Source organism: Homo sapiens, chromosome 1 (genome assembly GCF_000001405.40).
Source record: "Homo sapiens chromosome 1, GRCh38.p14 Primary Assembly".
In the NCBI taxonomy this organism is placed as follows: Eukaryota; Metazoa; Chordata; class Mammalia; order Primates; family Hominidae; genus Homo; species Homo sapiens.
The window spans coordinates 118,023,511-118,048,176 of record NC_000001.11 but is presented as its reverse complement, the minus strand read 5'-3'; the positions used below and the strand labels follow the sequence as shown (position 1 = coordinate 118,048,176).

The 24,666-nt window shown below is 37.6% G+C and overlaps 1 protein-coding gene across 15 annotated transcripts in view; it reads left to right on the top strand.

The window, feature by feature from the left end:
• The window catches only part of SPAG17 (sperm associated antigen 17), a 231,639-nt gene that overhangs the window by 137,052 nt on the left and 69,921 nt on the right, over positions 1-24,666 (top strand). For 13 of the 15 annotated variants that reach the window (XR_946574.2, XM_006710427.4, XM_011540934.2 and 10 more), the window contains 7 exons: positions 6,135-6,374; positions 7,336-7,447; positions 8,733-8,885; positions 11,294-11,407; positions 16,310-16,485; positions 19,783-19,903; positions 22,761-22,939. Coding sequence is in view for 14 of the 15 variants with exons in the window: in XM_006710427.4 (XP_006710490.1) it covers positions 6,135-6,374; positions 7,336-7,447; positions 8,733-8,885; positions 11,294-11,407; positions 16,310-16,485; positions 19,783-19,903; positions 22,761-22,939 (1,095 nt within the window). In the remaining variant the exon portion in view is untranslated. Of the gene's footprint in view, positions 1-6,134; positions 6,375-7,335; positions 7,448-8,732; positions 8,886-11,293; positions 11,408-16,309; positions 16,486-19,782; positions 19,904-22,760; positions 22,940-24,666 lie in introns of those variants that run through there. The other 2 variants (XM_006710426.4, XM_047448758.1) reach the window with 2 other exon arrangements.

Here is a 24,666-nt window from a genome sequence, read left to right as displayed (position 1 = left end):
TCCACAAGGATGGGCATGGAGCCTGAGTCCATGGAGGCAAGCCTGGGTCCACTGGAGCCTGGGGCTTTCGGCACCAGCCTGGAGCATGGGGCTGACTTGGTGCTGAGCCATGAGGACAGGCCTGGGTCCTAGAACCATGTAGCCAGCCTGCACCTGACTCTGCAGAGGTGGCCCTAGAGCCAAGGTTCACAGGAACCAGCCCAGTGCTCAGGTCTATTGGGATGGGCCTGGAACCTCAGTCTGCTAGAGCAGGCCTGGACCTTTTGTCTGCTGGAACATGAGGCCTCGGGCTGGTCTGAAACCTGGTGCCACAGGGGTTGGCCTGGCACTGTGGAGTCTGTGTCCACAGGGGCCAGCCTGGAGGCTGGGTCTATGGATATTGACAGGTGCCGGGGGTTCCTGGAGGATAGGTTTTGCACTTGCCAGCCTGGAGTCTGGGGCTGCAGAGGTTTGCCTGGTATTAAGGCAGACTGGGTTCTGAGTCAGCAGTGGCCAGTCTGGAGCTGGAGAGCATGGGTGCTGGCCTGACAATGAGGAGGGCCTGGAAGCCGGATCTGCATGAGCCAGACTGAAGTCTGGGATCTGAGGACTGTCCTAGCACCAGGAAGGACCTAGAGGTTGAGTCTGCTGGGGCAGGCCTGAAGCCTGGGGCCATGGGGAGCCAGCTTGATGCTAGAGGCAGCCTGGAGTACGCGACCACTGAGGTGGGCCTGGCAGTGAGGTGGGCCTAGAGCCTGAGTCTGCAGGGGCTGGCCTGGCATTGGGGCAGGCATGGAGGGGTGATCTGCAGATACCAGCCTGGTCTTCTTAATTCCAAGCTACATTAAGATGCTATACTCTCTCACCTGGTTTTCCTGGCTCTTGTGAAGGTGTTTTCATGTGTGGGTAGTTGTTAAAATCTGTGTTTCTGTGAGGGATGAGTTCTGGAAAGTCCTATTCCACCATCTTGCTGATGTCACTCTGTGTTGACTTTAAAAAGAATTGAGGAAGTGCAGGTGTAGACAAGATCAGCATTGAAAAAAATCACTGGCATTCCTATTCACCAGCAATAACCAATTAGAAAATGTAACAAATAATAAATTTTATTCACAAGAGCAACAAAAACTATATTTTTAGTGTGTTTCTTGTAAACAAGGACTATAAACTAGATTTTTAAAAATCTTGTCTGATGAACACACGTTTAGCAGGAGAGTAGATTCCATTTATATCTATTCTGATTAATGACATGTTTGGGATTTCTTCAACTAACCTATTTTATATATTCTCTATGATCCTTTCTTTTCCTCCTTTCTTGCTTTCTTTGTATTAAGTTTATTTTCCTCTTTACATTTTGCATCAGTTTGATAATAGGAAACATTAATATTCACTCTAAATAAGTGAAATGTTATTCCCCCCACACACAAAAAAAGAATTCTATTTTTCTTGTTACTAAAAATTGTACTCAATTATTTGTCATAAAATAATTGTATAAATTTCTTTTCTCTCTCATTGCATAAGTACCTACATGGATGTCCTTGATTTTGCCTCTTGGCCCTAAAATATTGACTCTCTGGCCCTTTATAGGAAAAGTTTAATATGTAGGCACCTTTTTTTTCCTCCTAGTGGTTGCTCTAGAAATTTAACTTGTTATATCATTTCAATTTAACTTAATTTCAGTATAATTTAATAAAATCTAAACTTAATGAAATATTTTTTTCTTTCAGAACAATACCAGGAACTATTAAAATGATTTAAACTGAGGCTTAAGTTTTATCTTGATTTTTTTGTGTTGCTACAAATTAAACATTATCATTGTAATTGTTTCATTTATTTATTTATTTATATTTTATTTTTTGTTTTGGGAAAAGGGTCTCACTCTGTCCCCCAGGCTGGAGTGCAGTGGCGTGATTATAACTCACTGCAGCCTCAAATTCCTGGGCTCAAATGATCCTCCTGCCTCAGCCTGCCAAGTAGCTAGGACTATAGCAGTGTGCCACCATGCCCAGCTAAGTTTTTAACTTTTTGTAGAGATGGAGTCTCACTATGTTGCCCAGGCTGGTCTTGAACCCCTGGCCTCAAGCAAACCTCCTCCAGGGCCTCTCAAAGTGCTGGAATTACAGGCGTGAACCACCGTGCCTGGCCTCATTGTAATTGTTTTATATAGTCCATGTTGTTTTAACTTTGTCTCCGTGCTTACCATTTGTTTTCTTGGGCATTTCTTCTTTATGTTCTGGGAGTATTTGCTCTAGAAGTTCTTTTACTGGGGTTTGTTGCTTTGAACTGTTTTACTCACAATACTTCTGAAGTAAATTTGTGGGTGTTTTTTTCCCCACACCGACTGAATCTGCAACTTTCCGAACACCAACTGGGTGTCCTACAATTAAATTCCATTCTGATACTAACTACCCAGAGTTAGCACAGACCTCGTAGATTAACTCACTCCCACAAGACTGCTTCCTTTTCAGATGCCAATCACAAGTATTGGGTGCCTAGAGTATGCACACTTCTGTCTGACTTGACTACTCATTTGGAGGTTTCCACAATCACCTCCTTGGGTTCGATAACTAGCTAGAAAGCTTATGTCTCATAAGACTCAGGAAAACACTGTGCTTACTATTCTGGTTTATTATAAAAAGATATTATAAGGATACAAATGAACAGCCAGATAAAGTGGTAAATGCAGCAAGGTCCAGAAGAGTCCCAAGCACAAGAGCTTCTGTCCCCATGGAAGTGGAGTGTGTCATTCTCCCAGAGCATGGATGCATTCACCAACTTAGTTCAGAAGCTCTCCAAACCCTGTTGTTTAGAGGTTTTTACGGAGGTTTCGTTATGTGGGCGTGATAGATTATTAACTCAATCTCTGGCTCCTCCTCCCTCCTGAGGGGTTTGGGGATGAGGCTGAAAGTCCCAAACTTCTAATTAAGGTTTGGTCTTTCTGGACAGCCTACATCCTATCCTGAAGAACATGACAAGAGTTGCCTCATTAGAGCAAAAGATGCTCCTATCACTTATGAAATTCCAAGGGACTTAGGGGCTCTGTGCCAGTAGCCAGGAATGATGACCAAATATCTGTTTCTTATTATACCCCAATATCACAGTTGCTATTAAACTCAGTTTTTGCTTATCTGAAAAATGACTTTATTTTGCCCTTACTCATTAAACATAGTTTTCATTTATAAAATCCTTGGTTGGCTTTTTAATTTCCTCTTATCACTCTTGTGTTAGTCTGTTCTCACATTTTTATAAAGAACTACCTAAGACTTGGTAATTTATTAAGAAAAGAGATATAATTGGCTCACAGTTCTTCAGGCTGTACAGGAAACGTGGCTGGAGAGGCCTCAGGAAACTTATAATCCTGGCTGAAGGGGAAGGGGAGGCAGGCACATCCTCCATGACTAGAGCGGGAGGAAGAGAATGAAGGGGGAGGTGCTGCACACTTTTAAACAACCAGATCTCCTGAGAACTCACTCAGTATCATAAGAACAGCAAGGGGAAAATCTGCCCCCATGATCCAATCACCTCCCACCAGACTCCTCCTCCAACATTGGAGATTACAGTTCCACATGAGATTTGAGCAGGAACACAAATCCAAGCCGTATCAACTCTGAAGATATTTTTCCACATTTTCCTTGCTGACACATTGTGGCTGTTAACAAGTTGATTGTCCATCTAATTTGTCATTCTTTTATGGACAGTTTATCTTTTTTTTTTTGGAGATGGAGTCTTGCTCTGTTGCCCAGGCTGGAGTGCAGTGGTGCGATCTCGGCTCACTGCAACCTCTGTCTCCCAGGTTCAAGTGATTCTCCTGCCTCAGCCTCCCGAGTAGCTGGGATTACAGGCGCCCACCACCACACCCAGCTAATTTTTGTATTTTTAGTAGAGATGGGGTTTCACCATGTTGGCCAGGCTGGTCTCGAACTCCTGACCTTGTGATCCACCCGCCTTGGCCTCCCAAAGTGGACAGTTCATCTTTTCTCTCTAGCTGCTCTGAAAACATTCAGCGGTGTGCTGGTAAATGCTTAAGCAGTAGCTCTCTAGGAAAACAAAAGTATACATATATGTACATAAGTTATAAATGTTTCTGACACACAGTATATATAGTACAAAATTTACATATAATAATAAAGCATATAATATTATTTATGTAAATTCCATATAGCTACCCATAAATTCCAGATAGCATTTTGATTTCTACAAACTGATTTTTGCTAAATTGTTGTATCCTTAGCCAACCTATGATTACAATTGATAAATACATGTAGTTCTAATATGAATGTTGATATTTTTATTTATGTTAACAAGTAAGACAAAAGTGAAACAAAGAAAGGATATGTCTCACTCATTTGTCAATAACATTAGCAACTTTTTTGCTGAGTCAAGTAATAGTTTTTTAATACTGGACGAATATTTCCTCAACTTTCTGTGCTAGTAACAATATAACAGCTAGTCTGCATTATTAACATGATCTCCATCACTTCCTTAAATCTAGATAATAAACAATCAATCAGTCCTGACTTGTAGCATTTGCTGATATTTCTAGTATAAGTACCCCTACAATAGCTGATTTGAAGCTACCATGTGACAACACTGAAGTTGGCAGTGCTATGCAGTAGCACACCATTATATAATGTTGTCACGATACCATTACAATTGACATAAATAAACTCCAGAGCATAGACAATAGTGAAATGTCACAAAATACTTACGTTGTGGTAAGTTTTGAGTCTTTATTGCCTTTGTTTTTAATATTTTGCTTAATTGCAAATTTATATAATTTTTAGATGATGGTCATGTTTAACAGTTGGCTCACAAAATTTCTAAAAATTTAACAATAATCTCTTTTAAGTTAATGTGAGCTAGGTCCGATACACCAATGTTATTTCCTGTTTTTGATTTATTGGTCTTCCTTAATGTTAGGATGAACGTCTTTCTTCAACTCTCGAAATGTCTCAGGCATTATCTGTTCAAATACTGCCTTTTCAAAAATTCAATTCCATTTTCAGGAAGTCTTTCAAACTCACTTTGCCATTTTTGATAATCCTCTCTTTGTTACTTATGCTTTTAATACTTCTTTTTATTTATTTGAGCATGTTTTAAAACTTACCTTATATTCTCTATTTGGCAATTACAATATCTGTAGTCTTTGTAGATATGATTTCACAGTTTGTTTCTTACTCAAAGTGGTTTATTTCTGCATGTTTTGTGATTTTCATTTGTGAGCTTATATCAAATCATAATGTTAACGGTGGAAGGGTCCAGGTTCTTGGCGTCTTAACAAAGAACTGAACAAAATGCATAAACAAAGCAAGGAAGGAATGAAGGGATTTATTGAAAATGAAAGTACACACCACAGTGTGGGAGTAGTTCCAGGCATAGGAGCTCAAAGGCCCCACTACAGAATTTTTGAGAATTTAAGTACCCACTAGAGGATTCCATTGGTTACTTGGGGTATGCTCTATGTAAATGGAGAGAATGAAGTAAAGTTATAAAGTCGTTCACTTGGCCTACACCCTAGGAGAGGATATTTCCTGTCATAACTGAAGTGTGAATCAGCCTTATGTTCCCTGCCTCTAGACCCTATTTTCCTGCCTCGATGACTGTTTTAAAATAAAATGTTAAGGTAATCTGTATTTTGGCCACAAGTCTATGTGAGGACAGGCTTGTGGTTAGGAGTGCTTAGGGGAGACTTACCCTCCATCATTTTACCTATGTTATCCATCATTTTTGAATTATTTTATCCCAGGAATGTTTCTCTGAACATCTAGTCTTCCACACTGCTAATAAACTATCTTTAGGACCTAAATTAAAGATCGGACTCATGTGGAGGATAGGAGACTGGGAGACCAGTTAAGAGGCTGCTGCAATGGTCCAGGCTAAAGATAATGAAGACCTGAACGAAGGAAATTGCAAAATAAACCCTGAGAGAAGAAGCTGAAGTGAGGAGAGATCTCAAAGGGGGAATTGACAGGATTTAGCAGACAGAAGTTGAGTGAGAAAGAGAATTAAGGATGACGTCAAGGCTTCTAGTTCAGTATTTTGATTTGTCAGAGATACACTAACAAAAATCATGTTAAATATTCTTCAAAATGAACCTGAATGGAACCTATGTTTAATTCGTTTAAAAATCCTGTTAAATTTCTTAAATGTGTTTACAGGCATGGAAAGAAGAGCAACATCGATTAGCAGAAGAGGAGCGCTTAAGGGAAGAAAAGAAAGCAGAGAAGAAGGGTAAAGAAGCTGGTAAAAAGAAAGGCAAGGATAACGCAGAGAAAGAGGATAGTAGGTCTTTGAAGAAAAAATCACCTTACAAGGAGAAATCTAAAGAAGAACAAGTCAAGATCCAAGAAGTAACAGAAGAGTCCCCCCACCAACCAGAACCTAAGATAACTTACCCGGTAAACTCCAATTCTGTAAAACTTAGTCTCTTTGGGCTATTCCTAATTGTTTTGGGAAAATACGGTTATTATAAGATTCTTTTGTTTTCACTACCCCACAGTAGGCCTAGGGTTTCTTCTGGTATTAATGAGCTCAAACCTGTATTCCACCCCTGATACCTAGAACCTTGTTTCTAACCAATCATCAAGATGAAAACACCCTCAGGTCAGTTTTTATTTGAGTGCCACGAACCTAGCTAAGGTCAATAAACACAGAAATTTGACACAAAAGCATTCTTATAGATATATGTAAATAAGTGAACACAAAAGTTGGCTTTATCTGTCTCAGATGATGAGACTTGCTGACTACATTTTGTTGTCTCTGTGGGCAATCATGTTTCTGGCTTGTATGCTTTTGTAAAACCTTCCCTTTGCCAGTTCTCTCTCAGCTAGCTGTTATGAGGGAAACCTGATGGGAAAAAAAAATGGAAAGAAATCTAACATCCCCTGTGCTTTGTAGCTACTCCTCTAAAACAGTTGTTCTCAAGTTTTAGCATGCATTAAATCCCCTGGACCTCTGTTAGCAACACTCAGTAAAAAATGTCTTCTACATATGACCTCCTAAAGTGGAGTGTCCACTCTCCACAGCATCAGTTCACTTTAAACAGAAAATTAACAACCAGTGAATGGGAACTTGATTTCTTCTTGAACTGCCTTGACAACAGTATGATGATTCAGTTTTCACTAGGTTATGAGAATGTGCCAATGAACAGAGTTTAACATAATAGATCTTAATTCTGCCTGTTATAACACCATAGATGTTTCTAAAAATAATATGAACACTGGCCTCTGAGTCTGCAAAGTGACAGACATATCACTTAGCAGAAATTAAGCTTCTGGCAACTTTAGTTGGCTAACACTGATAAGTTGATTTTTTGTCTATTGCAGCTTCACACTCAAAGCATAATATTTTCTCTTCTAGTTTCACGGATACAATATGGGAAATATACCCACTCAAATCTCAGGGTCAAATTACTACCTGTATCCTTCTGATGGGGGGCAGATTGAAGTGGAAAAGACAATGTTTGAAAAAGGTACATTTTGAAAGCAACTGGTTAATGATTGGAAACATAATAATGCATTTCAGATAACCAGGGGCCCTCTACTCCTGAGTTTGATAGGCGAGAGTGTTATTCTGTCCCCCACAATACATTTAGGTGCCACAGTCAGCATTTTCAGACTTCACACTTTCTTCTATTATAATTGACTCTACAAGGCATAGGCCAGTCAAGGGTTTAGCTGGTACATGCTAATATGACCATTCCAGTTGTTAAAATATTAAAATACTTCCATACAATTGGTAAATAGTAATAGTAACTGCAATAAGCAATTAATTAATAATATTCATTACAGCACACCTTGTTATCCCAGAAGCCAAGTGCATTCTGTGAGTTTACAGCATTTTTCTGGTGTAGCTCTGGAGCACAGAGTTTGGGACCTGCTTCCAATATCCACCTATTGTAGCTCTTACTAAGATTTGCATATGCATACAATGCGTATAAGTTTCAGGTGATTCGTAGTAAATTCAATATTTTCTCCTAGTTCTGTCAATTTTGAGGGATGATAGCTCAATCCAAATTGAAAGGAAATAGCCAATTTTTTTAAAACAAAAAGAAGGGAAATGAGTCCAAACACTAAAAAAGAGAATGCGTTGTTGGAAAAATTTTTATTAACGACCACAATAATAATAGCTACTATAACATAATTTTTATAAGTTGCAAAACCATTTAACATTAATTATATCATTTGATGAATCATAACATTGATTATAGGCATACATTGCCTCAGCCAGTTCATTTTCTCTTCTGAAATTGAGTTTGAAATGTGACTAGAAGGCCTGCAAATACCTCCTTGGTCTACCTGCCATTCATGCCTGGAATTCCACCATTACTTTATTTCCTTAGGCATTCTTTTATAGAGGTGACATCTCTAAGCATTTCCTCTCCCTGGTTTTATATTCTATGCTGCCTTTTTATTTTCGTTTCAGGGATATCTATTCAGGTTGGTTCTATAGGTAAATTGTGTATCGCAGGGCTTTGGTATGCATATTATTTTATCACCTAGGTAATAAACAGAGTACTCGGCAGGTAGTTTTTGGTCCTCACCCTCCTCCCACCCTCAAGTAGCCCTGGTGTCTATTGTTCTCTTCTTTGTGTTCATGTGTGCTCAATGTTTAGCTGCCATTCCTAAGTGAGAACATGCAGTGTTTGGTTTTCTGTTCGTGTGTTTGTTTCTGTGCAGCATTGTGTAACCATCTTGTCGAGGAGCTTAATGTGGCATCCTAATCAGCCCATCTTCTATTCTATGGTTCCTCCTCAGGCCCAACTTTTATCAAAGTGAGAGTGGTAAAGGACAACCACAATTTTATGATTCATTTAAATGACCCTAAGGAAATTGTGAAAAAGGAAGAGAAAGGGGATTATTATTTAGAAGAGGAAGAAGAAGGAGATGAGGAACAAAGTCTTGAAACGGGTAAGCTGCTGTTTAGTGGTTTCTTTCTTCTGACTAATACTCCTGTCTCTGTCCACTCCACTCCATTAAATGAATGGCTTATTGCATGTTCTTTTTCTCAAGTTTCTACCAGTACACTCTCTTATTAATAGTGCATGAAGTTGCCTATTTTCCTGAACTGAACCCTAATGGATATTAAGCGTTATCTTTTTTCTTTACCAGACTTTATTTTTTATAGCAGTTTTAGGTTCATGATGAAATTGAACAGAAGTTACAGAGATTTCTCAATGCCCTCTTCCCGTACACATGTCCAGCCTCTTCCACTATTAACATGCCTCACCCAGAGCGGTACATTTGTTACAGTTGATGAACCTACATTAACATATCATTATCACCCAGAGTCTAAAGTTTACATTACCCTTGGTGTTGTGCATTCTAAGGGTTTGAACAAATGTATAATGGCATGTGTCTACCATTATACTATCATACAGAGTAGTTTCACTGCCCTGAAAATCTGTGCTCTGTCTATTCATCTCTCCCTCCTTCCTAATCCCTGGTAATCACTGATCTTTTTACTGTGTCCATACTTTTGCTTTCTCCATAATAGCATGTAGTTGGAATTATACACTATGTAGCCTTTTCAGATTGACTTTTTTCATTTAGTAATATGCATTTAAGTTTCCTGTGTGTCTTTTCATGGCTTGATAGCTTATTTCTTTTGAAAACTAAATAATATTACATTGTCTAGATGTACCACAATTTTATTTTCCCACCCACCTACTGAAGGACATCTTGGTTGCCTCCAGCTTTTGGCAATTGTGAATAAAGGTGCTACAAATATTCGTGTACAGGTTTGTGTGTGGACATAAGTTTTCAACTCCCTTGGGTAAGCACCAAGGAGTGTGACTTTTGGATTATAGGGTAAGAGTATGTTCATGTTGGAAGAATCCACCAAATCGTCTTCCAAATTGGCTGTACCATTATGCATTCCCACAGTAATGAATGAAAGTTCTTGTTGCTCTATATCCTCACCATTATTTTCTGTTTTAGATTTTCTCCATTCTATAAGGTGTCTAGTGGTATCTTGTTGTTTTAATCTGCATTTTCTGGATAACAAATAATATTGAACATCTTTTCATATGCTTATTTGCCATTTGTATCTCTTCCTTGGTGAAGTGTCTGTTGAAGTTTCATGCCCATTTTTTAATCAGGTTTTTATTTTCTGGTTATTGAGCTTTAAGAATTCTTCATACATTTTGAGTAATAGTCCTTTAACAGATGTCTTTTGCAGATATTTTCTTCAACTCTGTGTCTTCTCTTTTTATTCTCTTAAAGCATTACCTTTTGTTCCATGGTTCATTTGAATTTCCCAGTCTAAAAATTATCTTTGCATGAGTTACATTATTTTAAATCAATATTGCCCCATCTTTATTATCTGATAATAGAGAAAATGGTGAACTGAAAATAAAACAAGTCAGAAAATTCACAAATTCTTTACATATACCTTCAGATGTGTGTTTTCTATTCATGATAGCAAAGAAATGGAATCAACCTAGTTGCTCATTAGTGGTGGACTGGATAAAGAAAATGTGGTACATACACACTACGGAATGTTATGCAGCCACGAAAAACTAAAACATATACTTTGCAGCACATGGATGCAGCGGAGGCCATTATCCTAAGCGAACTAACACAGGAACAGAAAAACAAATGCTGCATTTTCTCACTAATAAGTGGATTTAAACACTGAGTAAACATGGGCATAAAGATGGGAATGACAGACAGTGGGGCCTATTTAAGAGGGAAGGTTGGGAGAAGGGTAAGGATCAAAAAACTACCTATCAGGTACTATGCTCACTAACTGGGTGATGAAAGTGTCTGTACACCAAACCCCAGTGACATGCAATTTACCCATGTAACAAACCTGCACAGGTACCCCCTAAACCTAAAAATTGAGAAAAGAAAAAAAAGTGCCTTAACAATTTTGTTTTAAAATTATGTTTTGACTGAAACAATTTTTAAATTCTTTAAACTTTTAAATGTTTTAAAATGTAAAAAAGTTTAAGTGTGGGAATTTAAGAAAATGTTTTAAAATGTGGGGAAACTGAAACTGAACTGATGGTTTTAATTTTAAAAGCCATGTGGATGACCTACCAGATGAATAATCTGCTTATGGATATGCCATCAACCGATTGATTTCCTCTCTTCACTTTAACCTAAGGTCCCTAAAACAAGAGTTTCATATTCTTGTCTTTGTAATTCCACCCTACCTCTAACAACCCTGAGTGCATGGTCAAGCTAAACCAATTATTTTTTAAGTTGATTGTGGTAGAGCAGCTATGAACTCCATTCCCAGCCTTCCCACTGAGTCTTAGTTATATTTATTTTGAATTAAATGAAAATGTTCTTGATTCGATTTTGTATTTTAGAAGTATCAGATGCAAAGAATAAAGCTTTCAGCAAGTTTGGATCTTTTTCTGCCACCTTAGAAAATGGAATCTGCCTCTCGATAAGTTACTATGGATCAAATGGAATGGCACCAGGTGAAATGAACACAACAGCAAGGATAAGTGTGCCCCACAGCCAAGGGTCCCTGCCACTGCCCATTCTCAGTCTGCTCACTTGTCAATAACATGTTATGATTTAATGCTCCTCATTGTTTTTCCTGCAGGATGGTAATAGAAGAGGTGTGTGTGTGTGTGTGTGTGTGTCTATATATGTGTGTATACAGTATATATATATATAATCTTTTATACATAGATACAAAATAAAAATGCTTTGACATTTTATATAATCTTTTATATAATCACTTATACATATAAGATTACTTGTGTGATTATATATATACATGTATGTATACATGTATATACACACATATATACCAGTTATCCTTGTTAACTACCCCATAAAAATGAGCCTTTTGGTTGGGTGTAAAAGAAAGCATAAATTGCCAAGGAATCCTCTTGGTTTTCTTTGTGAATCCTGTTATTATAGAACGGTTCAGTGTGCTTCAGGACGTTAGCCTTAAAGGAGCTATTCAGTGGACATATTGAAAGATTTCTGTACCCCACTTCCTTCCTTCCTTCTTTCCTTCTTTCCTTCTTTCTTTCTTTCTTTCTTTTTCTGAGACAGGATCTTGCTCTGTCACTTAGGCTGGAGTGCAGTGGCACAATCATGCCTCACAGCAGCCTCAAACTCCTGAGCTCAAGCAATCCTCCCACCTCAGGCTCCTGAGTAACTGGGACTATAGGTGCATGCCACCACACCTGGCTAATTATTTTTGGTAGAGATGAAGTCTTACTATGTTTCCCAAGCTGGTCTTAAACTCCTGTGCTCAAGTGATCCTCCTACCTTGGCCTCCCAAAGTGCTGGGATTACAAACGTGAACCACTGCACCTGGCCTTCTACCCCATTTTCAATAAATAAATTATCCAACTGGAAGCTGTTTCTTTACAAACCACAAAATAGGATATCACTTTACGAAGAATCAATTGGGAAATCTGTGGCTTCCCATGCATTTTAGAGGGATCTAACCACAACATATTTTCTTAAAGCATTATAAAATCAAAGGATAAACTCTATGATGTATAAACTTAAAACTTTATGTTAGAGTAGATCATAGTGATCCAATTACCTGTCTTTCTATATAGTTTCTTTTTTGCAGAGATAAATTTTCAATGGATGATTATAATCTTATTTCTTACCTTGTGTCAAATATCCTAGTACTCTACTGAGTTTGAGAGTCCATTAGATTTCTTAGTATTTTTGCTTTATTGGAGATTTTGTGTTTTAATTTTGCCTTTGCCTTTGATTTGTTGTTAAGTCAGCAACTGGAGAAGTCATTTGATGCCTAACGAATTACATATTAAAATCCGTTATCACTACCCAGTCACTAAAAATTCCTACCTCTTCTTAATATAGGTTATCATTATTTTGGCTTAAGATATTTATACCTGCTATCAATTCTGTTGCTCCTACTCCTGAGTGATTTTATTAATCTTGATTTAGTCCTTAAATTAATATGTAATCAGTCCATTTTAAACAGATGTTCCTAATTTCAAGTTATGAATATGGCATTTGAAAATGTTTATAGTGTAGATAATAAGTAACATTTTACATCCTATATGTTTTTTTAAAAAGTTGAAGGTATAAGTCTTTGTAAAAATTATATGCGTATGTATATACACACACATTTCCTAAGGATTCATATATAACTGATATTTAAGAACTTTTTCTGCTAATGGCTTAACAAGTTTCCATTCCAGTTCTCCCCCTTTAATTGGGTAGGCACAGCTAAACATAATTTAGTATCCTTTTGGACAAAGAAAAAGTAGACAGTACAGCTATGAAATAGGCAAAAATATAAAGAAACCCAATCAAATCTTTGGACATTACTTTGTACCTTCTTGCTAAGAGGAATAGGTCATTCTTGCTTCTTACTGCCTTTCAGGGTGCCTACTGAATATACCTAAAATTAAGAATCTTAATCTTAATCTTAATCAGGCCCCAACTTATGTTTTACATTCTTTACCCAAACCCTGGATGACAACGAACCCCATCTATTTTCCCATAGAGAAGTATACCTTCCTACCCTATTATTTCTGTGCCTTTCAGTTCCTTGAATAAACTATGCTGTCTCTTACATCTGCCCATTTTCTCATGCTGTACCACTACTCAGAATACTTTCTCCTGACATGTGCACCACTACTTTCAACAATTAAACTCCCTCCCATTCTGCAAGCTACAGCATAGAGGTGTTACTTGCTCTGAGAAATGCTTCCCAGAGCAAGTGGCAGTAGCATGTGAACTGAGTCTTTGGAGGTGAGTGAGAATTGCCTATGCAAAAAATTGAAGGGAGGGAATTCTAGCTACCAGGAATAGCATGTGTAAAAGTCCAGTAGTGTAAAAGCATAGAAAGGCTTTTCCATTTATGGAAAGGTGAAGTGTTCAGTATAGCCACAGTAGACTGTACAAGGACATTTTGCAGTAGATACCCTTCTTCTGGGTTCCTAAGGCACTCAGTATTTCCTCTATCACAGACTGAACACACAGCATTGTACCTGACGGGTTCTAATCTGAACTACCCACTAAATTATACCCTCCTTATCTGTCTCATCCATCATTGGCTATCCATTTCATGGTACATAGTAGTAGGTACACAATAAATATTTACTGAATATTAGTAAATGGATGGGGATGAGGAGGGGAATTTCCAGATGCCTGAAACTGAACGCCATTCACTTGTTTATATACTGTACTTTCTGTGGGTCAAGCAACTTGCTGGCACTGAGCCACTAAGATGAATTAATTCGTGGTACATCTACACAAAGAACTCACTGTCTAATGAACAAGGAAAACATAAATAGAGCAATAATATCTGTCTTAGTGCTGGAAATTATACATAAACAGAGTACTGGGGACAGTCAACACATACTTGAGAGAAATTGTAGCATTTCAGATGGGACTTTAGAGCTGAGTGGAACTATCCAGGCACAGAAACAAGGAAAGGGAATTCTAGAACTTAAGAACCATGTTAATAAACACACAATTGTGTCAAAACATGGCATCTTCACAGAAAGGTGAAAAGTTCAGTGTGGCTGCAGTGGAGGTAGGTGAAGACCAGATTGTGAAGAATGTTATATGCCCTACATAGGCAGTGAGTGGCAGAGGACTTTAAGTAAGGGAGGTGACATGATCATATTTTACTTTAGGAGCATAATTTTAGTGGTAGTTTGGAGAGTACACTGAAGTGGTGGTATTGGAAGTGCTATGGTATCAGTTAGCAAAACGCTGCAGAAGACCCAGCAAGCAATTATGGGACCCTGAAATAAGACAATGGGAATAGATAGAAGAGGCATAATTTGGGAGGAAGATCTTAGGCCTTGATGGCTGGTTGGATGTGTAGGATGAGTCAAAAAAAGTAAATGCAAATGATCTCAATGTCTAACTTGGGGAACAGACTGCATAATTGCTCATGGCATTAACTGAAATTGAGAATGTAGGAGGCTTAATCTGCTTGGGAGAAGAGAGACTTAATTGAGTTTGAAATGTCTGTAGCACCACAACCAGGAGATGCCTTAAAAAAGTGAGAAATATAGGTCTGGAACTGAGAAGGAAGGTCATGCCTTGAGATGTTAATTTTGGAGTCATTAGCATGTAGATGACAATTGGAGCCCCAATGGTGAATGAGATCATCCAGATCTAATATATGTAAGAGAGTTGCTCAGCCCTGGCTGTGCATCACAGTCACATGTAGGGTTTCACAAATATAAATGCCTGGGCCTCATCTTCAATGAGTCTGATTCAGTAGGTCAAGGTGGGGCCCGAGCATGTTGTTTTTCTAATTTCATGAGTAATTATTACAGGCAAGGAGGATTGAGAACATAATAAACCCTGCAACCTAAAAACATTTAGGGGATTGGCTGAGAATGGTGGTTCATGTCTGTAATCCCAGCACTTTGGAGGCCGAGGTGGGCGGATCACTTGAGGTCAGGAGTTCGAGACCAGCTTGGTCAACATGGTGAAACCCCGTGTCTATTAAAAATACAAAAAAATTAGCCAGGCGTGGTGGCAGGTGCTTGTAATCCCAGCTGCTCAGGAGGCCGAGGCACAAGAATCACTTGAACCCGGGAGGAGGTTGCAGTGAGCCGAGGTTGCACCACTGCACTCCAGCCTGGGTGACAGAGTGACACTCTGTCTCAAAATAATAATAATAATAAATAAAAATAAATAAAAACATTTAGGGGACTGACAAAAGAGTAAGTAGAGGAGATTGAGAAAAAAAATGACTAGAGGTAAGAGATTCAGAGAATGTTTTTCTGGAACCTAGAGGAAAATAAAATTCATGACACACAGGATGCTTTAGAGCTCCCCACATAATTACTCCTAGCATGAGCTCTCCTTTTAGAATTCTGGTAATCCCTTAAAACCCAGCAAGTGTATCACATACAAGTTTCTCTTCTGGATTTTCTTGTTTGTACCACTTATTTTATTTATATTTAGTAGTCTTTATGTTTGGTTATTTACACAGATCTTATTTAGACTATTTTGATGCTATAAGGACTTTTGCACATTTTTTTCATTATTTTCTGCTGCTCTAAACATTTTATACATAAGAAGAGCCTCTCAAATATTTCTCAAATAAATTAAGATATAGTTAATGCCCTATCATTAAGGAGTTTACAATGTAGATGGGAAGGCAAGAACATGAGAAATAGTGATTCAGTGAGGCATATCCAAGTAATAAATACCTCAAATTTTCTAACTACAATCCTGATTTGTAAACCAACTTCATTACTCCTGAAATCTATCCAACTGATAAATCATATTTAGCAAGGTAAAAATTGTTGTCAACTTGTGTAAATTTTTGAGTTGTAAATGTTATTTCACAAGGATATCAAATATGAATGTTGAATCAACTTCATTTTTACTTTTTCTGCTTATAGAAGATAAGGATCCTGATTTAGAAACAATATTGAATATCCCTTCAGCACTCACTCCAACAGTGGTTCCTGTTATAGTGACCGTTCCTCAAAGCAAAGCTAAAGGGAAAATAAAAGGCAAAGAAAAACCCAAAGAATCCCTTAAAGAAGAAGAACACCCAAAAGAAGAAGAGAAAAAGGTAAATGAACCTTGCCATAGATTCCCAAACTCTGTTTCTGCTTCAGTGTTAACTTTTTTAAAACCATGACTTATGTCAATAGTGTTATTATAGTGCATACGTTTTATTGTGCAGATACATTAACGTCCCTTGTAGTCTCAACTTTGAATAGACAAGAAGGATTTGTACCCAAAAGTTGGGTTACCACTCCAGGAGACATATTGTCATACATAAGTTGTCTCAGGTCATTCATTCTAAGTTTGGAAAAACTTAGTTCAACCTTTTTTCCACTCTATTTCTTGGGTTTTCTTTGCTTTTCGTTGGTCAAGTTTCTGCCATTCCTTATTTTTAATACTTTGTTTAGCTCCACTGTGATAAATAACAAATGGAAGAAAAATATATTTAACCAAACAATGGAAACAGTTTCATTTGGTAAAGTTGGTCTTAGATATTGATGTGCTAAGAATCTAACAAGACTAACAGCCCACCTCTGATTAAAGAGTAGTCCTCAAAAAAAAAAAAAAAAAAAAAAAAAGAGTAGTCCTCCTATTACCCCTAGCCCTTCATCATAGTAAACACACACACACACACACTTTGACTCTAAACAAAGATCTAATAAAACAAAGATCAAAAGATGGTTCTGCTTTTCCACTGTTGGTGGGAGTGTACATTAGTTCAACCATTGTGGAAAACAGTGTTGCAATTCCTCAAGGACCTAGAACCAGAAATACCATTTGACCCAGCAATCTCATTACTGAGTATATACCCAAAGGATTATAAATCATTCTACTATAAAGACACATGCACACGTATGTTTATTGTAGCACTATTTACAATAACAAAGACTTGGAACCAACTCAAATGCCCATCAATGATAGACTGAATAAAGAAAATGTGGTACACATACACCATGGAATACTATGCAGCCATAGAAAAGAATGAGTTCATGTCCTTTGCAGGGACATGGATGAAGCTGGAAACCATCATTCTCAGCAAACTAACACAGGAACAGAAAACCAAACACCACATGTTCTCATTCATAAATGGGAGTTGAACAATGAGAACACATGGACGCAGGGAGGGGAACATCACACACTGGGGCCTGTCAGGGGGTCAAGGGCAAGGAGCAGGAGAGCATTAGGACAAATACCTAATGCATGCAGGGCTTAAAACATAGATGTCGGCTTGATAGGTGCAGCAAACCACCATGCCACCATGGTACATATATACCTATGTAACAAACCTGCACATTCTGCACATGTATCCCAGAACTTAAAGTAAAATAAATAGTTTTGGAAAAAAAAAAAGAAGGTTCTAAAAGACCGGCAACAAGGAAACTACTGGTTAAGTCTTGACTATTGGTACTTACTACTAAAAAAGTACAGTGTACAAATAATCAACTACTGGAAGATAAAATGTTTAAAAATACCCAAGAACCTGGGTTTCAGACTCTGGCCTTGTAAAAGTTACAAGGTTTAAATATGTCATTGCCTCTGTACCACATTTACATAGTTATACTAGATAAAATTTCTCATGCCAGGCCCCTTGACTCTTGTTAAGTAAAAATGTTCAAGTGTTAAAACAGAATAACTCCAGGTAATTCATTTAAAATTAATTTGGCCAAAGGCATCTTGCTAGCAAACCAATTTGTTCACTTAACATTTTTAAAATAAATGATAATGGAAGGGTGAGGATGATACTAGTTTTATGTGTGCTGACAGATTTGACGTGGCAGGTTTGCATCTTTGAGCAGTTTTGTTCATTTTACAGAATTTCATAAGCATTTTTCTCTTATTTTTGCTTTGTGTTTTAAATTTATTTTTAGCTAATTATTTATGTATTTTTCCTCTGTTAGTGACAAAGAAAAGGCAGAACAACTTAAATGTTCAACAATAGACGACTAGTTAGAAAAAAACAAATATCCACAAATTGGGTACCGGTGGAGTGATTTTGGTGGTTAACAAAAGAGAACCAACTGGAAAAATTGAAATGATTATCATTAGGGAGTGTTTGAATGTTAACAAGTAAATTTCATTCTTAAGTACATATAACCAAACAAGGGATTTAGGCATAGCTGACATAAAATTAATTAGGATTTTAAAGTAAACACACCCAAACCCTCATTAATTTATAAATAACTTTATAATTGTCTTTTATTTTTATTACTTTCATTTGCTACAAAAGCAGTATGTGCTCATTATAGAAAACAAAGGACAGATATCCTAATAACATAATATCTCTAGCATCCAAATTGTAAGAATACACCAAAAAATATGTTGGAGATGTTGGTCTCTCACACACTTTTTCTGTATTAGTTTGGACTGCTATAAAAAAAATACCTTAGACTAGGTGATTTATAAACAATCAAAATTTATTGCTCACAGTTCAAGAGGCTGTGAAGTCCAATATCAAGATATTAGCAGATTTTATGTCTGGTAAGAGCCTGTTTCTCTTATTTTATTTTACTTTATTTTATTTAAGATGGACTTCTTGCTCTGTCACTCAGGCTGGAGTATGGTAGTGTGGGCTCAAACTCCTGGGCTCAAGCAGTCATTCCACCTCAGCATCCCAAGTAGCTGGGACCACAGGCATGTACCATCATGCCTGGCCAATTCTTTTAATTTTTAAAGAGACTGGGTCTGACTGTGTTACCCTGGCTGGTTTCTAACTCCTTGCCTCAGGTGATCTACCCAACTCACTCTTTCAAGTAGCTGAAATTGCAACCACACACCACCATGCCCAGCTATTCCTCATAGAGATGGTTCCTTCAATGTGTCCTCACATGGCAGAAGAGGAAGAGGCAAAGGTGTTCCCATCAACCTCTTCTTTAAAAGCACTAATCCCATTCATAAGGGTGGAGCCCTCATGACTTAATCACTTTCTAAACTGCCCCACCTTTAATACTGTCACATTGGTTATTAGGTTCCAACATACGAGTTTGGATGGGGGACACCAACATTCAGATGCCAGCACTGCCCTTATGCCTACATATCCAAACAGAGGCATCTTTCAAGGCCCACTTCAAGCCCCAATTATTCCACAAATCCTTTCCCAATTGTTCTTATTAACTTTCACTATATCTCTATTTTCTGAGAAAAGATGTGCCAACTGTTGTTACTGCCATTTGTCTCACCTATGTGCCAGTCTGCAAGTAGAATATAAATTGCAAAACCACAGAGACTCCTGCGTCCTTGCAGGGGCCACCTAGCTCTGTGCAAGTCATGTCCTGAGCACTCAGCATATCCTGGCTTAGTCAAAATAAATAATAGCTCATTAAGAAAATGACAGCCCATTATTCACATGCTGAATTATTTACAGGAAGAAGAAGTAGAACCAGAACCTGTTTTACAAGAGACTTTGGATGTTCCCACCTTCCAGAGCCTAAATGTGTCTTGCCCCAGTGGGCTCCTGTTGACTTTCATTGGACAAGAATCTACAGGTAAGTGCTATATGGGGTAGGGTGGGGAAGCAGGGAGCAAAATGTCACGTAGAAAACAGGAAATTGTGTATTTTCATGCCAGTTAAACATACATCTTGTTGATAATGAACAATAGACTGTTTTCACATTTGTAGCATTTACTATGGCCAGGCACTGTCTAAGTACTTAGTATATATGTCAAAAATACAAATACTGTGATCTAAATACTAACTACTCCATTTTACAAAATAAGGAAATCGAGGCTTCAGGAGGTTCAGTTACTTGCCCAAGGTCACTCAACTCCCAAGTGGCAGAGCTGAAATGCCATTCTCAGCCCAGTGATGACAAAGCCAGTGCTCTTAAAAACTTGTGTGTATCCCTGTGTTCTTGCCTCTACAGAGGGTCATGGGTGCAGCATGTTGCTGGTCTGACCAAAACAAATGACACTGGACACAAAGTACATAGAGATAGATGTAGATTAAATAGGTTAAGAAAATCAAGGCTTCATTTTCATGTATCTATATATAATTTTATAGTGTTGGTTCTGTACATGGCTCCTAACTTCTTCAGCTAAATAAATAAGTACAAGTAAGATTTCTTTAATTAACCTGATGAGGCATCTGCATTTGTTACTGAATTTGAATATATTTAAATAGAAACTCACTGTTGCAGTAGAAGTAGAAGATGCAACAAAGCAGGCACTGAAGTGGGAGTTGAGTTCTAAAGCTGACCCTGACACCAACGAATGATGTGTCCCTTTTAAGTTACTTAGGGTCTCAGGGTCATGTTTTCTTATCTGATAAATATTACATAACATCAGCAATTCTTTACAGTTTCACAACTTAATATCCTCTTTTATATAATTCCCTTATGTATACCACATTTGAAAAGTGTATCAAAGAAAAACGCTATGCTTATTTAAAAATAATTTAATGTTTTATTTACTTCCCAGCTCCCTCCCCCGCAAAAAAGCAGAAACTAAATGTTGAAGTTAAATTTCGCTTCTCCTTAGGCATTCTGAATTATTAAAAATAGCCCATGGACCCTGTTCCCTTCCCAAGCATCCCTAGTGGTCCAGGTTTTCCCACTGTGCTGCATGTCTTCACTGGGTGTCTTCCACTCAGACAGTCTTCACTGAGTGTCTTCCAGTCAAAGAGCTATGAGTGTACTCAAAGAGATGTTGCTTTCAAATTCAAGGATATATTTCTTTGATTGTTTGATCCTGTTATCAAACCCCAGCTTAATACCCCTTTCACCTGTCTTTTCTATTAGTTTCATTATCTATCCTAATATTTTCCTCCTTATGTTAGGGTAGACAATGTAGTTAATAATAGCTCATCTGTTTAAAATCTTCCATATACTATGAAAATCCTAATTCAAGTCTGAACATAACAACATAAATACCAAAGTAGCAATATCTTCATCGGGTCAGTCTTGGACTTTAGGGAAAGACAGTTATCGTAGCATAAGAGGAAAGAGCCTAGACTTGAATCCTTTCCTGAGTGACTTTTTATTTTTGGTTGTTAATGGTGGTTGCTTTTGTAATATAAGAAAATGATTCAAATCTTCCTTCTCTTACTTACTGGCTGTGCGTCCTTAGTGCTGGATGGTCACTAAGTGTCTTCCAAAGTTATAACTTGCTAAGTTAATAACCTCTCCAAGCCTCTATTTCTTCATCTGAAAACTCTGGAAAATTAAAGTGCCTATTTTAAAGGATTGTGAAGGCAGACTCAATAAAAGATACATATATAAAGCATTTAACATATAGAAATATCTCAATAAATGTTTATTGGTTTATCATTATTAGTAGTACTTCTGTGATTTAAGGGGTGCCATGATTTTCCCACTAGCCTGATATATAGTTCTTAAAATGCTATCATTATGTGTTAATTCCTTTGTGTTAAGGCTTTTTGGCCCCAATAAACCACATTATAAATTAAGAGGAATTTATTCAGTTAGCAAAGCCTGCTTAGGTACGGTATGCCAGAATTTCTCCATAATAGTGCTTGCTTTTGAAGGAGCTTATTAGGTGCTTTTCTCCTTGATTGCCAGCTAACAGCAAAATGCTAGATAAATCTGGATTTGGTTAGAGATGAGGGGATTATTTTAACGTTAACTTTGAAAGATGACAGATGACTTAGGAAAGGCAAGCCTGAGGGGGTGACTTCCCCTGGGGCTATGGGCAACCAGGAAACACCAGGGCAGCGTGTGTATCCAGGGTGGAAAGTTTAGTCAAAGATGAGAGATAGGCACCAGTGGGCAGGAAGAGGAAACACCTAATTCAGCAAAACTCGGCTTCCTTCATAATTTTGCCTCAATTTGTCCTGGATTTTATTAGAGAGAGTGGCTTACACATGGAGAAGGTACCTACTAGGTGTTGTAGATGACCTAATTTACTACCTTTGAATGTAACAAGGTCATCAAAGAACCAGTATTCTAGACCATCTGTCATAACATGGAAACTGCCCTATTATTCACATGCAGACAAAAGAAAATAATTAAGCACCAGGCATGGTGTCTCACACCTGTAATCACAGCACTTTGGAAGGCTGAGGTGGGAGGATCGCTTGAGGCCAGGAGTTTGAGACCCGCCTAGCCAACATAATGAGACCCTCTGTCTACAAAAAATAGAAAAACTTAACAGGGTGTTGTGGTGCAAGCCTGTAGTCCCAGCTGCTCAGAAGGCTTGAATCCAGGAGTTTGAGGCTGCAGTGAGCTATGATTGCACCATTGCACTCCAGCCTGGATGACAAAGCGAGACTTTGTCTCTATTTTTAAAATAAAGAAAAGAAAAGAAAAAGAAAATAATTAAGCAAGATGATAAAATCCAGCCCTGCAGCATTGTCCAGTTCACAAGAAGGCTTTATTCTTTTTTTAGGTCAATATGTTATAGATGAGGAACCCACCTGGGACATCATGGTCCGTCAGAGCTACCCCCAGAGGGTGAAGCACTATGAGTTCTATAAAACGGTGATGCCACCCGCAGAGCAGGAGGCTTCAAGGGTTATCACCAGTCAAGGCACTGTTGTCAAATATATGTTGGATGGATCCACACAGGTAAAAGAATGTGTTAGAGAAATTATTCTTCCCTGTTCCAAAGTAAAAGACAACTTATGGGTAAGGAACTGTTCTATAACAGGGAAAAGGAACAACTCACTAGAAAAAGGAATGACACCTTCAAATGACAAATGATAAATAATATAGTTAGAATTAAAAAACACTATATGCAGAGCAGGATACAAATAAACTTGTCATTTCTCTGCATGATGTAAGATTGCAAACTGAACAGTTTTTTCCTTTTCTCCCTCTCAAGCTATCTTAAACTAATTTTAAAAATTTAAATAGTGAATTCATAATGGTACTGGAGGACAACAAGGCATGTCATCAATAATAGATCAGAAGATTTCGATAATTTCTTTTAAAATGCAGATCAGATGAGATCAAACTGATGGAGAAATATGCACAAAGTTAAAACATACACAAGAGGAAAACATGCAGCAAAATTAAACATCGAAATGGGAATTCTAACACAAACATTTTGCACATGGATCTCTGAGCTCAGAAAATGAGGGTAGTTCCCCAGGTAACTCACTGTCACCCAGAGGATGGGAACGAGAAACCTTAAAAATCAGAAGCCATATGCCCTGCTCTTTCCTTCCCCAGTGATCACAAAACAGGAGCTCCTGTGAGTAGACACTACACCACCAAGAAGTAAAAGGGATTCTCAATGAGAAAGATGACCATGCACTCAAGAATCATAAATCTTGGAAAGAAAGCAATCCCATAAAAGTAAAGTACATAATTCAATATCTAAAAGAAATAGCACCTGAAATTAAATACTTTAAAAAATTAAAAGTTGGTAAAAGTGATATAGGCAGACCTGAGAGGTTAACAGTTCATAAAATAACAACTTTTTAAAAAGTCGCTAAGGAAAAATATCAAGAGTTCTTAGAAATTAGAAATAATTGTGAATGATCAAAAATGGGAAGGGGTAGATTTTGAGGGTGAGAAAAGCTGAGAGATATGGAAAAAGGGTCCATATGATATAATTTCCAGAAGAAAAAAATAGTAAGAATGAAGGGAGAAAAGAATCAAAGACATAACATAAGAAGTTTGCACAGAGCTTAAAAAAAATACTTCAGATTAAACAGGGCAACCGAATGATAATAAGAACTGATATTAATTATCTTTAAAGGATTACCTAAATATGCCATCATGCAATTTTAGGACTGCACAGATAGACAATCCCAAAAGTTTCCTGAAGGAAACAAGTTACCTATACAAGAATAAAAACCAGATAGACATTTGACTTCTCATCAGCAACAGTGACGTTGGTCCTTGTCATGTTTGTTGGGAGTGTCTAGGTACCAACAGCAGGTAGACATATCTGTGGTACCTAGAGACACTGTACAAACTAGATAGATATTAATAGAAACTACAAATTTAAATATGTGATAAAATTTTAAATACAGTTGTTAGAAAAATTGAAATAGAGTATATAATTTCCCAATCGCAAAGGAGAAAGGTGAAGAATGGAAAAAATAAAACTCAAATCAATCCAAGAAAAGATGGAAATAAAAAGAAAAGAAACAAAATAAAAGGTAAATAGAAAATAGAAAATAATATTATTATGGTGGTAACTAGGCTATTGTCTCTGAACTCCAAATCTACCTTTCTATAATCTACTTTGTGCTGCTGGGTCTGGAGGTCTGCAAACAGCATTTCTTCTGTGGATCATTTTGAAGCTATTTCCATTTGACACACAGCGTTTATTGTTAAACAAC